This window comes from Homo sapiens, chromosome 10, assembly GCF_000001405.40.
Source record: "Homo sapiens chromosome 10, GRCh38.p14 Primary Assembly".
NCBI classification, from domain to species: Eukaryota; Metazoa; Chordata; class Mammalia; order Primates; family Hominidae; genus Homo; species Homo sapiens.
The window spans coordinates 69914952-69930362 of record NC_000010.11 but is presented as its reverse complement, the minus strand read 5'-3'; the positions used below and the strand labels follow the sequence as shown (position 1 = coordinate 69930362).

The 15411-nt window shown below is 52.7% G+C and overlaps 1 protein-coding gene across 43 annotated transcripts in view, besides 2 other annotated features; it reads right to left on the bottom strand.

The window, feature by feature from the left end:
- COL13A1 (collagen type XIII alpha 1 chain) overlaps positions 1–15411 on the bottom strand; it is a 157239-nt gene that overhangs the window by 28782 nt on the left and 113046 nt on the right. For 39 of the 43 annotated variants that reach the window (XM_047424600.1, XM_011539294.4, XM_047424601.1 and 36 more), the window contains 11 exons: positions 13030–13074; positions 12046–12078; positions 11275–11301; positions 8428–8481; positions 7569–7655; positions 6508–6561; positions 5356–5400; positions 4491–4559; positions 3253–3276; positions 1364–1426; positions 276–320 (listed from right to left, as the gene is read on the bottom strand). In XM_047424600.1, the coding sequence (XP_047280556.1) occupies positions 276–320; positions 1364–1426; positions 3253–3276; positions 4491–4559; positions 5356–5400; positions 6508–6561; positions 7569–7655; positions 8428–8481; positions 11275–11301; positions 12046–12078; positions 13030–13074 (546 nt within the window). Of the gene's footprint in view, positions 1–275; positions 321–1363; positions 1427–3252; positions 3277–4490; positions 4560–5355; positions 5401–6507; positions 6562–7568; positions 7656–8427; positions 8482–10635; positions 10699–11274; positions 11302–12045; positions 12079–13029; positions 13075–15411 lie in introns of those variants that run through there. The other 4 variants (NM_001368882.1, NM_001368883.1, NM_001368895.1 and 1 more) reach the window with 2 other exon arrangements.
- Positions 3957–4456: an enhancer, noted in NCBI's record as "H3K4me1 hESC enhancer chr10:71685663-71686162 (GRCh37/hg19 assembly coordinates)". NCBI's record gives its function as "activates a minimal SCP1, AML or CMV promoter by ChIP-STARR-seq in primed H9 embryonic stem cells {active_cell/tissue: H9 hESC(primed)}" and the evidence as "EXISTENCE:reporter gene assay evidence [ECO:0000049][PMID:30033119]".
- Positions 13125–13804: an enhancer, noted in NCBI's record as "H3K4me1 hESC enhancer chr10:71676315-71676994 (GRCh37/hg19 assembly coordinates)". NCBI's record gives its function as "activates a minimal SCP1, AML or CMV promoter by ChIP-STARR-seq in primed H9 embryonic stem cells {active_cell/tissue: H9 hESC(primed)}" and the evidence as "EXISTENCE:reporter gene assay evidence [ECO:0000049][PMID:30033119]".

Here is a 15411-nt window from a genome sequence, read left to right as displayed (position 1 = left end):
ATGGAGAAAAGAGGAGAGAGGGAGAGAGAGTAGAAAAGTCCAAAGGCCTTGGCTCTTTGGTGCTTGTCTGGGGCAGGCAGAGACAGCCCAGCCTGGGTCTGCCTGGCTCCTCCTGGGGCTTGCAGGGTGGGCCCCTCTCCCTGCCCCCCCCCATCTCCCCTTCCCTTGCCCACTGGGCTCACACCAGGGCCAATTCTAGAGCCTTCCTGCCCGACCTCCTGCCCCCAGGGCCAAGACTGTCTTCAGAGGTTTGACCAGAGGACGTCTGTTCATACCTTTTCCCCATCGTGTCCTGGAGGGCCTGGCAGTCCAATCTCCCCCTGTAACCGGAACAACTAAAGGTGACTCTCAGGGCAGAGAACATAGCAGCCATCAGTTACGCATTGCTTAGTGCACCCGGCATCCCACTCCACACTTTCCCATAGAGTTTGCTCATTTAATTCTAACTGTGTTGCTGGGAGGTATGAATTTGCATTGCCTCTCTTCTACAGACAGGACTCCAAAGCACAGAGTTGTGTGCCTGAGGCCCACAGTTAGTGAACTGAGGAGCCAGGATCCCAGTCTGGGCGCTCTGGCTCCATGTCCATGTTTTAGCCACAACCTCCCACTGCTGCCTCTGGGAGCCCTAGGCGCCCTTGGCTCCCTTGCAGAAGGGTTCTTGCCTTCCTGTCTCCCCTGAATGCAGAACCCCTGCCCTGGCTCTCCACAGGGTGCTCCTTTCATCTTCACACAAACCAAGCCCCTTCTTTGGGTCAGGTGGGGAGTTAAGGGAGGTGGCAAAATGATGTAGGTCCTACCCAGAGAAGCAGAGGAAAGGGCAGGGAATTCTGCCTGATAGATCAGGGAGGCTTCAAGGAGGAGGTGGTCTATTGAATTGGGCTTGAAAGATGAGAAGGGCTTTGAAAGAAAGGTAAGATGGAAAAAGACTTGCAGGGGAGAGGACCTCATGAGTGGGAGACAGAGGGGCAGACCTTCTGAGAAAAACACAGGTGTGTGGAGTGTAAAAGGAAAGCAAGGGCAGGGAGTGAGGTGGGAGGATTGGGGAGGGGCTCAGATGCCGAGGTCCCTGATGGGGTCCTCACTCCCGCTGTGGGTCTGGTTGGGGCAAGGGCAGGGGTGTGTCTAGACCCAGGCCCCACAGCATCAGAAGGCTCTGTGAATTACAGGAGCCCAAGCAGATGGCAAGGGTTGGCTAGAAGAGCCACAGCAGCTGGGAGGTGGGTGGGCGGGTCCCCTGGTGCCTTGGAGCAGCAGGAGGGTATGGTGGTAGTGCTGGGAAGATGAGAGGGTCACAGGGGGAGGGGAAGCCCTGGGGTCGATGCCCTTGCAAAGTCTTCACCCCCTTTGTCAAGATAAGATTTACCTTCTGGCCTGGAATCCCTGGAGCTCCAGGTGGGCCAATTTGCCCAGGAAGACCAGGAGGCCCCTAGGAGAGAAAGGAAAGACACATGGAAGAACTGTCCCATGGAGGAGGGTAGCCTGTGCCCTGAGGGCTATATGTGGAGGCTGGCTTGTACAGATAAGTTGTTTACAGACCTTTCTCCAGTGATAGAGATGCATTTTTTGCAAAGAAAATAACATGGGGAACCCAAAATGCAAAACATATAAGCACCAAGTGTGACTGGGTTGAAGTGGAGGTGGGGTTCGGAGAGCCATGTCCAATACCCTCTCCTTCTCTCTAGGGCATCTCTGGTCGCCCTTTGGGCTCCAAGAAGCTAAGTCTGACCTTCCCCAATAATGACTTAAAAATATCTCCAGAAAACAACCCAAATGCCCATCAACAGGGGAATGCATGGTACATCCATACAATGAAATACTACTCAGCAGGGAAAAAGAACCAAGTGCTGATGACAAGGGTGCATCTCAAACACATTCTGCTGAGCAGAAGCATCCAGGCACAGATACTGTTTAATTCCATTTACATGAAGCTCTAGAAGAGACAAAAGACACACCTAATCTACAGTGACAGAAGTGACGCAGAGCAGTGGTGGCCTGGGGCTGGGAGTGTCTCCCAAGGTGCATGAAGAAACTTTCTAGAGTGATTGGGTGGTTGATACTTGGGTATATACACTTATCAAAACTCATCAAACTCTACACCTAAAATGAGTACCTTTTCTTATGTGTAAGTTACACCTCAAGGTTGATTTTAAAGGAAAAAAAATGTTTCTGGGAAGGTTTTATTTCCAATAGCTATTTCACATTATTATTATTAAGACAGAGTCTCACTCTGTCACCCAGGCTGGAGTGCAGTGGTGCAGTCTCGACTCACTGCAACCTCCGCCTCCCGGGTTCAAGTGATTCTCGTTCCTCAGCCTACTGAGTAGCTGGGATTATAGGCACCCGCCACCATGCCTGGCTAACTTTTGTATTTTTAGTAGAGACACCATGTTGGCCAAGCTGGTCTTGAACTCCTGACCTCAAGCGATCTGCCCACCTCAGTGTCTCAAAGTGCTGGGATTACAGGCATAAGCCACTGTGCCCTGCCAAATAATATATTTTAATGTCTCCAAATGAAGCTCATTGATTCCAGAACCATGTCGTTGATAGCAATTTCTGGGATTGGGACGTCACAGAAGTGGTGTTTGATTGTGAGTTTGTGCCATCCCTAAGTGTGTTCTGTGGCTCACAGCCATGAAAAAATATTAGGTGAATTGAAATTTCAGTAGTCAGAGAACTTCATGATCTCTCCTCCCATCCTCTACCTTAGAAGTTAAACTTGGTGGTAGTCATTTTAACTACAAATATTTACCAAGAGCCTGTCACCGGTAGGCACCTGTACAAAACCCAGACTTGAAATTCCCTGGTTTTCCAAGTGCAGATAATGAAACTGATTTCCAGGAAAGGGGGATACGTGGTAGGTTGCTACTAGTTTTTCAGGATTTAATTAGCTAAAAGTTGGGAAAAAAGAGAAACATTAAAAACATCCTCCTCAGTACTGCTATTTCCTTCACGCAGCTGTAAATAGAATCCAGCATTTGTATTGTCACCAGAGAGCACAGCTGTATTGGTGAAGAGCCTTTACACAGAGGACACCCATGACCCAGGGCACGGGCAGCTCTCGAGGCCCACCTACCAGTCCTGACTCATCACCTCCAGCTCAGATCATCATCTGCCCCAGCCCTGTTGGGTCAACCCTAATCTGCAGCCCAGTACCTGCTTTCTGGAGGGGAGAAATCAAATCCTTGCTTCCAGGCTGCCATCCCCAGCCCCCCCGTCCAGTGCCCAAGGAAAGCCAGGAGGAGCAAAACTTACCATCAAGGCCAGCGTCCGGATCTCCTAAAAAACCAACACCAGGCAATCAGTTGAAGAGCAAACCAAGAGCCAAGTGGAAGGTTCTCACTGCACAGTCATGGAAACATGGGAGCTAGGCCCCTCAAAGGAGCGTGGGTGGAGGGAGACGCTTGCAGGTGGGCTCCATGGCCCCCAGACTCACACCACCCCCACCCCACCTCTCGCTGAGGTTTGTAATCACTGGAGAGAGAATACGTAGCATCTCCTAAGCATGATTATACTCTGAGGCCGTCCTACAATGGACTCAGGCACACCCTAAATGGACTGCAACCTTTACTTCACTTTACTGAAGGGAAGGAAGCACCACCTCTTATTCTTTCTAGTCACCTTCTGAGGACCCTCCCTTGTTCTTTCCTCTTCTCCCAGAACCCAGATTTCAAAGTTGCCACGCACCTCCCTTTAAACAGACACAATATAGCAAAATATGGAACCACTCAAAAAATAGATCAGGGAGATGATTGTTGGCTTTAAAAGAGGATTTTACACCTTGTAAATGGAGTCACATACGGACACAGACTCCTTTGAAGAAGTGGTTCTTGAGCAGGGGCAATTTCTTCCCCCAAGGGATAACTGGTCATGTCTGGAGACATAGTTTGGTTGTCACAGCTGAGGCTCGGGTGCTACTGGCATCTAGCAGGTAGAGACTGGGGACGCTGCTGCACATCCTACAACACACAGGACCGACTCTCCCCCCACCACAAAGATTCTCTAGCCCCAAAAGTCAGTGCCAAGGCTGGGAAACCCTGCTTTAAAGGGTGGGGAGCGGGAGCTCATGAACTTGAAACAGGGTTAAACTGACACGAAAGGAGATGCGTTCCAGGAAGATTTGCTGCTGCATGAAAGGGGGTTATACATGCATTAAAGAAATGGGGCCCCAGCACCCTGCATGGGCCGTAACTTGTGGGGTGCCAGGATAATTCCACTATGGCACTCAGGGGCCCTGAGGCAGGATAACTGGCCAGCTGGGCCCAGACAGAGAGCCCCGGCCACCTGGATGCCAGTAATGGGGCCATTTCCCAGGAGGCTACACAGCGGGAGGTCAAAGGAGAGAAAGCGAGGAAGCAGCTCTCCTGGAAGCGCTGCCTGAGGGCCTGAGGGCAGGGCCCCTACTCGGCTGTGTGGAAGGGCCCCCTGATCAGGGCATGGTGCAGAGCCTGAGATCCATGAGGATCTTGGCCTCTGGGCTGGACCCTGCTCACCTGGAGAGCCTCATTGATGTTTCCATTGTAATCCACCATCTCTCCTTTCCCTGGTTCTCCCTTGGAGCCCTGGAAGGCAAATGAGATCTCAACCCACGGCCTGGACCGGGAGGGCCGGGAGGGCAACTGTGGCCTGCTCTCTATCAGCCCACACTGGCTGCACCTAGCTGCACATGGGTGGACCCAGAACAGCCAGCGGGGCCCTGGGGATTCTGAACACTCTCAGAGGATGCTCGGGGATTGCAGAACAAATCGAGAAGACTCCATGTGAGAAGTCTGGGCTAGGCCGACCTGGGAAGATTGGGTCCACCTGTGCTGCCAGTCAGACCTCCCACCTGAGGGCCAGAATGCTCTTCCCCTCCTGCCTCGTCAAGACCCCAAGGTCAAGCCTGTGAAAGGGACATAAAAACTTGGGACCCCAGTTCACTCTGCCAAAAGAAAAAAAGTTCAGCTGAAAGCTGAGTCATGCAAGAAGCTGCCTTTCCTTTTGTTCCTAATCAGACAGCTACAGATAAAAGGTTAAATATCCCCACAGGTAGCTGCTCCATGTTCACCACAGCTTACATAAAGTGCCGATTTACTGAGCGTGAGACTAATACATAATCAACTATTCCGCTACTTGCTCCTTTTCCCTTGCAGTGTGTGGATTACCATACCCTTCCTCTTTCCCCTCCAGCCTGCTTTTCCCCTTTAAATATTGAAGCCCTCAAAATCATCTTTGGCAAAAGGCACAGACCTGTCTCTTGGGCACGTGCCCTTAACCTTGGCAAAATAAACTTCTAAATATTAATTGAGACCTGTCTCAGATGCTTTTTTGATTTACCAGCCGCTTCACGCTGTGACTCCAGGAGGGAGAGGCACATACCTTGGGGCCATCTGGTCCCTGTTCTCCAGCTGCTCCACGCTCCCCCTGTTGCATGACAAAATTGGAGCAAAGTGGGGATAAAGTTGGTACAGAGAGCCTGATGTCCCTAGATGGGCCATGTGATAAGGGCCAGGAGGCTCATCTTAGCTCTTAGTCCATAGAAGTGCAGGTTCCACCCCTTCAGGAAACATCCAGGGAACACCCACCCACACTCCTGTCCCTCTGAGTCCCTCTGGGCTGCCTCCCACTTCAGACTCGGTGGCGTTCTTTCTGTTCTGTGTTCATTGTTAGGGACTCCCCTTTGTCTCTCTCACACCTTTTCCCCAGTCCCCTAAGTCAGTTGCCTCCATTGGAGCAGGGACGTTTGCTTCTCTTTAATTCCATCCTGCTCAGGTATCCAGGACTCAGCAGCTTTTTGCCAATTGTCTGGGTGTCAGTTGCCATCGAGAGCCCACACAGTTCTTTTGCTGCCTACTCTACTTGTGAAAGACCCAGAATGCCGAGTGAAATGTGGAGGGCCAGGAGGGTCTCAGGAGGACATGGGTGTATGAGCACCCACCTCCCAGAGTGGGCGGGTGGAAGGATTTGTTCCTGTTGCAAACAGGACAGAGCCATGGAGAATAAATGAAAAAGCAGTGTAACTTGTGAAAAACCAAGCGCAGTTTCAATTTTTCTGGGATAAAGACAATTGAAAAAAATCAAGATAGAAAGTAAAAATAAAGGAAACAGGAACACTTTGGTGTGACTCCTGATGAACCTGCTCACGGGACGTGGAGCCACTGCTGCCTCCAGGTAACCCACTCTCTTTCTCCTCCACTGCCACAACACTTTAGCCACTGTGAACTCATGAGGGACACAGCAGCCTTTCACAGGGAGTAGCTGGAGAGAAGCAAGAGCCCCTCGTTTACCAATGGCTCGGGAAGCTCTGTGTCACTCCCTGGTCAAATGTCCCATCCCTAGACTGGCTTTTGCATGACTGCTGTCTCAGTGCATGGCTCTCTAAAGCCCAAGCCAACCAGGAATTAGGGAAGCCAGTGGTCATGGCCGGTCAGCCTTGTGCCCTGAGGGATACCCCTAGGGTCGGCCGGGATGATTCTTGACCTCCCAAGCTGACCCTCATCTTGCAGCTCTGGGATGTGGGGGTCTCTGTACCTTGTCTCCTGGCTGCCCTGGGGGGCCAACCTGGCCATCGACACCTGCTTCTCCCTGGGGAAGAGGAGAGAGTTGGGATGAGGGCATGCTGGGCACCTGGACAGCTGCTTATGAGGGAAAAGATGGTCTTGCCGCTCATGCCTAGATGTTGCCTTGGACTTCTCTTTCCCTGATGGCTTCTGCACCTCCCACTCTTCCACCTCCCTGACTCCTACCCATGCTTGGGCCCAGCCTGGGTCTTGCTTCCTCTGGAAGCCCACTCCTGCTTTCCTTCCCTGCATTCTGTACCCTTTACTGGTGTCCACTCTGCCCTGCCAGGCCCTCCTAGGCCCACACAGAGCCCAGCCCATGGCAGGTGGATATGGGCGGAATGAATGAGTGTATTGCCCCAGATGATGTAGAGTAATTCATGCTTTCCTTCTGAGCTAAGAAACAGACCCCCTTCATTTCTCAGTGCTGCTAAAGTAAACCAAGCAACATAGGAGCCATCTGCTTTGGGGAACCCAAATCTTACCATTGCACTTTTCAAGCAGCAAAAGGAAAGTGAGGGCAGTTTCCATTTGCAGCTGCCTCCACTGCTGCCACCTACCAGATGTGCTGGTACCAGGTGGGGCCAGCTGATAGTTGACCTGCAACCTACTCAGAGCCAAGGTGGGGGGCCTCTTGCCTGTCCTAAGGCCCTGAAGCCATTGGTCCCTTGCTCAGTTACAGCATGGCCATCAAGGTCCTGCAGCCATCAATCCTTGACTCAGTTACAGCATAGCCATGAAGGTCCTGCAGCCATTGCGCCCTGACTCAGTTACATCAGAGTCATCTGAATCACTGGGACCATCCATCTGCCCCAGGGAAGACATCTCCTCTGAAAGGTCAAACTGTTATCTGCTTGCAAGCAGGAGCTGGGTCCAAATGGCCTTTTTGGAATCCATGGGGAAAACCACACATCTGGAGCAGGGGAAGGCTAGAGAAGGCGGGATGTCCGGGACGTAGAGTCCCCGAGAACAGGCTGAAGACAAAGTCCCCAGGTAAGCACCTCCCCAACACCAATTCCAGGGAACACTCACCTTTGGCCCTGGGGGCCCAGGGAGCCCTGGAGGGCCAGGTTCCCCTCTGCCTCCTCCAATGGAGTTGCCAGCATCGCCTTTCTCTCCCTGGGGGTGGAAGGTGGAGTTAGCATCCCTGGTGTGGAGGAAGGTCTAGGCTGAGCACTGGAGGGACACTATGGGGTGTGGGCCCCAGGATGTCTGGGGACCAGGGGCCTTCAGAATCCCAGATTTATCTGATCCAGCTGTGGGATTTGAAGAGAGATTGGAAGTGTTTACTGAAGGGCAGCAGGTTTAGAGCTGACACAAGGGATCCTTCAAAACTGGGTCTGGAGCCGTGTTTCTCAAAGTGTATTCCACGGAACACTGTTCAGTGGGTTGAGAATATTCAAAATGTGGAATAACATTATTATTGGTGGCCAAACTATGTAAGAAATGAAACATTAAATAAGCTTTGCAGACCCCATCACTGCAGGGTGCTCAGGCCTCTAACAGGCTGAGGAGCACTGTGACTTTCCAAGGGTCCCATCTTATTATGCATGTCTCCCCTTATTTTGGCCTCATCTTTTTTTTTTTAATTTTTAAATTAAATATCTTACAGAGTTCATGAACTGTGGGATGCATTTGCAGAGCTGGTACCAAGAAATCTGACCAGGTCATCACTACCGAATTCTTTACATTTCGGCATTTTATTTTTGCCAATCAGGGCCTGCCTATGGCACCTCTCCCTCGACAAACAGAATCTGGCTGTGTTCCAGCTGCCTTTCCTGCAGTCTGGGAGACAGACACGTCCAATGCTGGGGCCTGTGTGGATGTGCAGGGCCAGGTATGGGATGTGGGTGACGAAGGACTTGAACCCTCCATTCAGAGCAACACCTACCTTCTGCCCCAGGAGGCCAGGAAGCCCAGGGGAGCCTTCAGCCCCCTTCTCACCCTGCAGGGAGATGCAGACAGTGTGGGGGTTAGGAACTGTTTCTGCAGCAGGTTTGGGAAGCCACCAGCTCCACAGCTTAGGGCCTTGCCTTCCCTTGCTCCTGCCTCGGTGCCCCTGCCCCCAGCTGGCTTTCTGAAGGGCTCCACTTCCTCCCGGCCCCCATCCTGACTGGCTACTTCCATGGGTCACTTCGCGTTGGTGACACCTGCATGACTGCTTTCCTTATTCCCATGTGGCCCGGGCCCTTGTCATTCATGCTGGGGAGAAGTCACACTGGCCACAGATCATAACAAAGGCCAGAAGCATCTAGTCCATCCTGGCGGTCTCCTGGGAGAGGTGAGCAGTTCAGAACGCCAGTGGTTGGGCAAGCAATTCCTTTTGACCACTCTGTTCTTCAGATTCTTAATGCTTAGCAACTAAGGGCTCCCAGTCTTTTCTGGCACCCCCTTCTCCGCCTCTAGCTATAACCAGCTCACCTTATTTGGACATAGGGTCATTGCAAATGTAATGAGTTAGGATGAAGTCCCATGGGAGTAGGGTGAGCCCCTATCCAATGTGCTGATGTCCTTTTTATAAAAGGGAGAAATTTGGGCACAGACATGCACACAGGGAAATGCCATATGGAGATGGAGGCAGAGATTGGGGTGATACGTCTATAAGCCAAGGAATGCCAAAGATTGCCAGCAAGCACCAGAAGCCGGGAGAGAGGCTTGGAGCAGATTCTCCCCCTTGGCCCTCAGATGGAGCCCGCCCTGCTAACACCTTGCTTTTGGACTTCCAGCTTCCAGAACTGTGGGACAATGAATTTCTTCTGCTCAAGCCACCCAGCCTGTAGTACTTTGTTACCACAGCCCTAGCAAAATAATACACTTCCCTACCCAGCTTCTTCCACTACGGAAGAACTCTTTTTCCCCCATGACATGAATCAAAGAGCCCCTTAGAGATGCTGAACCCCATTCTCATTTCACAGATTTGGTGAGGGAAGCCCCAAGAGGTTACGTGACTGGTGGCCAACCCCTTACTGAGTCAGTGGCAGAGGCAGGTCGAGCCCGTCTCCCTGATGCTCTGCCTTCTTTTCACAGAGCAGCTGTATTGGTCAGCTCAGGCGGCCATAACAAAGTCTGGGTGGCTTTGACAGCAGAAATGTATTTTCTTACAGTTCTGGATGCTGGAAGTCTGAGATCAGGGTGCCAGTATGGCCAGGTTCTGGTGAGAGCCCTCTTCCTGCCTTGAATATGACAGCTTTCTTGCCGTGTTCTCACAAGGCAGAGAGGGAGAACGGTCTCTCAAAGGTCTCTCTCTTTCTTCCCCTTCTTCTAGGGCCACCAATCCTATTGGATTAGGGCCTCGACCTTATGGTCTCATTTAACCTTAATGACCTCCCCAAGGCCCTATCTAAATACAGCCACACTGGAGGTGAGGGCTTCAACATATGGGTCTGGGATGGACATATTCAGTGCACAGCAGTGTCCAATATCAGGTGAGTGTCCAAGAGCACCCCACCAGCAGGGCTGGGGTATCAGGTCAGCACAAGAAGCTTTGCTACCCATGGCCCTGGGGAGAGGCAGTTCTCATGTGTAATAATGTGAGCTGAGGGCTCTGGGCTTATAATTTGGTCAGATGTCTCAATGAACATTCATTCCAGTGGGAGCCACAGAAGGTGCCACACCAAGTCTTTTGGTGTCGTCTCCTTGGCACCTGCCCCAGGGTAGCAGCTGAACGGTAAAGTAGCCTGAGGCTGGCCAAGAGGGGTTGTGGAGGGCCAGGCAGAGGCCCTGGCAGTGGGAGGGAGCCCCTGCTGCCCTGTCCTGCCTGGGCTGCTCCTGCAGATGTGCTTAGTTTGGGTATCCTTCGGAAGCAGGCCATGTGGAGAAGGAAAGGATGTGGATCCTTGGGGAGCAGAGGTGGAAGGAGGCAAGTTCCTCCTTCTGCTAGGCTTTCTGCTGGGTAATCAAGGCTGCCCAGGAGAGTGGGTGTGCTCTTGAGTGTGGGTTTCTGAAGCTTGGCCAGGCCGTCCTGCCACTCCCCTCATCTCGGAACACATGCACCAACAGCACGCTGCAGGCGACACACCAGCCATGGAGGAAGGCCAGAGAGTAGGGGAATGGTGAGGCTAGGATGAAGGGGCACACACTCAAATACACGATATCCTACCCTCTGCCCCCTCTTTCCCAGCAAACCTGGGGGCCCCGGCTTCCCTTCTGCTCCTGGGTCTCCCTTTGGGGTAAGAAGAGAAAGTCACTGATAAGAAGATGGGGCAGGCAGTGAGGGGTAGGATGGGCAGTGATCATTGACCAGCATTTCCAGAATACTTGTCCCTTAAGCTTTTCCTCTTTAAAAAAGGGTGTTCTGGTCAAAAACGTTTTGAAAATGCCACATAAGATATTTCCTTTTGAGAGCTCCTCAATGCACATTTAGCAAATTAAAGGTTCTGAGAAGGTCTGCAGCAAAGAAACCTGTGTAATATTTCTAACCTAGCATTTCTCAAACTTTTTTTCTTGTCACATATCTTATTGTCACACCTCTTATTGTCACACAAGAGGGAAAGAGAACCCTGTGGGTGCAGGGGACAATAGTCACTGCCTGCTGCAGCTGGCATGCCTGCAGGCCAGGACCCAGGGAGGGGGAGGCATTTGCAGTGTGCTCCTGACCAGTGGGCCCTTCTCTGCTTAGCCAGGTCCCCAGTCCCAGGCCAGCCTCAGGGGGACCAAGAGCAAAACAGCAGCAGCCCCTCCCACCTCTGCCCATGACCGATGCTCTGTGCAGCCCGGAACATTCTCTCTGCATCAGTACCTTGGTTCCTGGGATCCCTGGCTCACCCTGTGTGGAAAAAGAGAAACAAATGTGAGAGACAGAAAAAGCAGAAACAAATGAGCAAGGCACCTGTTGGTGGAGGTGGGGTTGGGGGCAGTCAGGGTGGGGTTAGTGAAACATCTGGCCAGCCCCGGCTCTTCTCTGTTCAGGCATCAGGTCCCAGGCCAAAGGAGGCCTATCAGGCTACTGACCCTTAGAGGGTCCTATTCTTCCCCAGGTGAGGGGTGTGGCAGGTGGGAGCATAAGTGAGGCAGCCCAGGAGGAAAGAGAGGAAGGAATGGACATTTGGTTTGGACATGGTGCCCCCTGTAAGTGCACCTGCTGTGAAGATAGAATTTGAGCACTTGTTTTTCCAGGCTGTCCTCACATCTGCCTGCCAACCAAATGGGCAGTTAGGGTGGGGGTTCTGGAGATGAACTCCTGCTCTCTCTGAAGCTTTGGAAGCATATAGCTGCCCAATTACAGAGCATAAAGGAAAGATCTGGGCTGCCTTCCTGCTGCCTTGGTGCATTGGCAGGCTAGTGAGTTGAGGCAGGAAACCATTGCTACTTACTTGCAAGGCTTAGTTACACATCTGTGGCTCAAGGTTATGCACCTGGCACAAATGTTACTTTGAGAAAAATGTTTCCAAATCCTGTATGCCCCCTCATTGGTCTGGCAGCCACCCCACTGAGTCTAAGATTTCCAGCTCTGCCCGCTCTCTTCTCTCCCACCCTGTCCCTGATGTGTTGGTTACAACAGTCCACTGACCTTCATCCCAGCCACGGCAATTCCGGGCGCCCCCTGGCAGAGAGAGAAAAAAAAAGGTCTGAAGACATTCTGCAGCGAGGGGGCAGCAGGGGGCGGGGGGCAGTGGACAGCCTCCCCATGGTGTGATGAGAAGGAGGACCGCTCACTCCTCCCAACCCCGCAACCACCAACCCCACCTGGGAGGTGGGGGCGCTGAGCTGACGCCACGAGAATGGACCCTGAGGAAGGGGCTTTGTGTAGCTCAGTCTGCGGGGCTCCCTGGGCTTCCCAACCACCTGCATGGCTCCTGGCCTCTCCTGGGAGGCACAGTGGGGACTGTGGGGCACTAGATGGGGCTGGGAGGGGGTCCCTGGGGTGGAAGGGGGAGCTTCGTTGGAATATGAAAGGAGGAGGAGGAGGAGGAGATGGGAAGGGAGACGGCAGGAGAATGGAAAGCCACGGGAGAGGGGTGCAGAATAGATGACAAAGTAAAGGGGCTGATTTCACCAGGGACAGTCGCCCCCAGTGTTTGGTTGGCATTACCCTCACAGTCAGCTCTGTGCACCTCTGCCCTCATGGACTGGGGAGTGGCTGGAGTGAACCCTGTTTTCATATCAGCTTTGTGAAAGCTGATATGAAAACCCTGTTTTCACATCACCTGATATCATTTCACTTTGAGAGATAGATGATGCCCAAAGTGCCCCTTAGCAAATCTCAAGTGGAGGTGATTTTTGGGGGCCCCTACTCTCCACTTGGGTCTTAGGACTGCAGTGGAGCTAGTGGTACCTGAGATGGCTTTTTATGACCCAGGGATGCCCAGGAGGAGGCCGCCCGCATCAGGGGGCACTGATGAGAGACCACAATGCTGCAGCTGGGAGAACCAGGGCAGGCAGAAGGAGGCCCAAAGAGCTGGGACTCCAGAGTGTCCCCAGAGCTGAGGAGAGAGGGATGGGCACTGGGGGAGGGGCCTTGGGGCTGCCTGGGATGTGGGGAAGGGGGAGGTACCTTGGCTCCATGCTTGCCTGGCATCCCTGGCATGCCCCGTTCTCCCTGGAGGAAGAAATGAGAAAGCATGAGGAGAGGACCAGACTCGGGGCCTGTCAGCCTGCAAGGATGTCGGTGAGAATGTCTTGTCTGGAGGCTGGGATGGCTGTCCGGTTCATGTTGAGCTCTGAGGACCCTGCCCTGGTGGCAGCTGTGTGGGCCCCTGTCCTCAGCTATGTGAACTTGCAGGAGGGCCCCAATTACAGGTCACAGAGCAGGAAAGGCCCCCAGACAGAGAGGCTTACCTAGTGGAATGCAAGTTCAGCAAGAGAAGTGACTGGCCCAAGATCTACCTACCACCCTGTGGTTGAGCTGTACCTGGAACTTGGGCTGTGGGACGGGACCAGGGGCAGGAGCCACCCATTGGCTGCTTACCTACTGCACACCTTCCCTCTGGTCCCTGCCTGGGACTTCTTGCCTCATTTTCACTCCAGCAGCTTTGCTAGGATGATACCTTCTGGCTGAGCCAGACAGGAGCTCTCTTCTCTTTTCATCTGGGGTTCCTTTCCCTTCCAAGTCCTCTGGGTCTAACTCTCCCCAAGGGCATGTGTCCCTGCCCATTTATCTGCACCCCATTTCTGACCCTACTTGTCCAGAGGCACAGGTAGGGTCACCTGTCCATTGTTGCTCCTCTGGGACAGCATGGGGTCGCTCTACCATCGTGGCACTGCCCTATCTTTATGTTCAACATCTTTACTTCTCCAGAAAAATGCCAAGTCTATGACAGTAAGGTGAGATCAGGAAGAAGGACACACCACAAGGAGGTGGAGTTGGAGATGACAGCCAGGGACAAGTGGGAGGCCAAGAGCAGGTGAGTCAGGACTATCATCGGCTACATCAGGGGAGTGGGGAGGGCAGCTCCTGGCTCTGGGAGTTGAATCCTATGCAGTGCCTGAGCACGAAGCCCCAGCTGGGGCCCGGGATGGTGTCCAGCAACAGGTGACTGCAGCCAGCCTGCTGCCACTTCCTCCATCTGAAGGCCAGCGCTGTGGATGGGCAACACAGAGTGTGACAATCCTGCTCCCGGCCCAGCTGCCCCATTGGGTGTGACTGCTGTGGCTGCCAGGCCAGGCTGCAGTTCCCATAGGCTTAAAGGCAGAGGGGATCTGGTGTTCTCTGGCTTCCTTCTCAGCTGTCCACACTCTCCCTTTCCTGCCATCTTACAGGAGGTCCTCGTCCATCCTTCTCCTTACCAAGGCTAGAGGACTTCCACCCTCTTCCTCCGTGATGGGTCTTCCATGCAAGTGTCCAGTTAAGCTTCTTAACACACAGGCTGGATAGCGAGACCCCTGCCTTAAAACATCCTTGGCCTGCTGTTGACAGTAGGAAAAGGACCAGGTTCCTGAGCATGACGTTCTGACCCCTGCTTCCTTCCTAGCCTCATCACCTGATATCATGTCATGATATCACTAGTTTCTGTGTCCTGCTAGTTTCTGTGTCCCTGAAAACACTACCCATTTCCACGGTCTGTCTTTCTTCCATTTCAACTTAAAACCCTATTCATCATTTGGAGTCTTGGTTGATAGAGCACCCAGTTCTTGTCTGGTGCCCTGGGCTGAGCTGCCCTCGCACACTGACTCCTGCACCCCTATGGACCACAGACCTGAGGGCCTCTGAGTAGAGAGGGGCTCTGCCCTGTTTTCAGCCTGCAGAGGCTGTTTGATGGGAGTGGGGCCCTTTTATCTCTTCTATGAAGCTTTTTGCTATCCCCTATAACTCAGCGCTGCATCCTCAATGCGACAGGGACCACTTAGCGTTTGTAATCGGCACACACAAATTTATGTCTGCCTGAGATGGCTTCACTTTTATCCTCTTTGGGCCAAGTCTCTAAATTCTACAGAAGGCCTAGAATCTTTAGTTCCCAATGCCAGAGCCCTCTCTCAGCATGACCCCACCAGTGACCCCTGAACCATAGGTGGGATGGCAGAGCTAAATTCAGGAAGTTACCATGGCTGAAAATCTAGAGCCCAAGGCTTGCTCTAGACACTAACTTCCTTCTTGTGGGACTGAGAGAGAAGGGCACAGCCACTTACTGCAGCTGCCATGTGTCTGCACTGGACTGAAAAGCTTTACAACCTTCCTCTCTTCCATCTCCAACAATCCCTTCCAATGTGGGAGTGGACGTTATTCTTGCTTCACAAGTAAGCTAACTGCGGCTCACAGAGGACAGGTATGATTGCCAAGGTCATGCAGCCTAGGGCTTTGGATAGTCTGTTGTCTGTTATGCCAAGGTACTTATTTCTCTTGGCCAACCCAAGTATCAGATGGACTGATGTTCCGTCTGCTTCCACCAAACAGCCTTTGCAGGCTGAAAGCGGAGCAGAGCCCCTCTTTGCTTGGTGG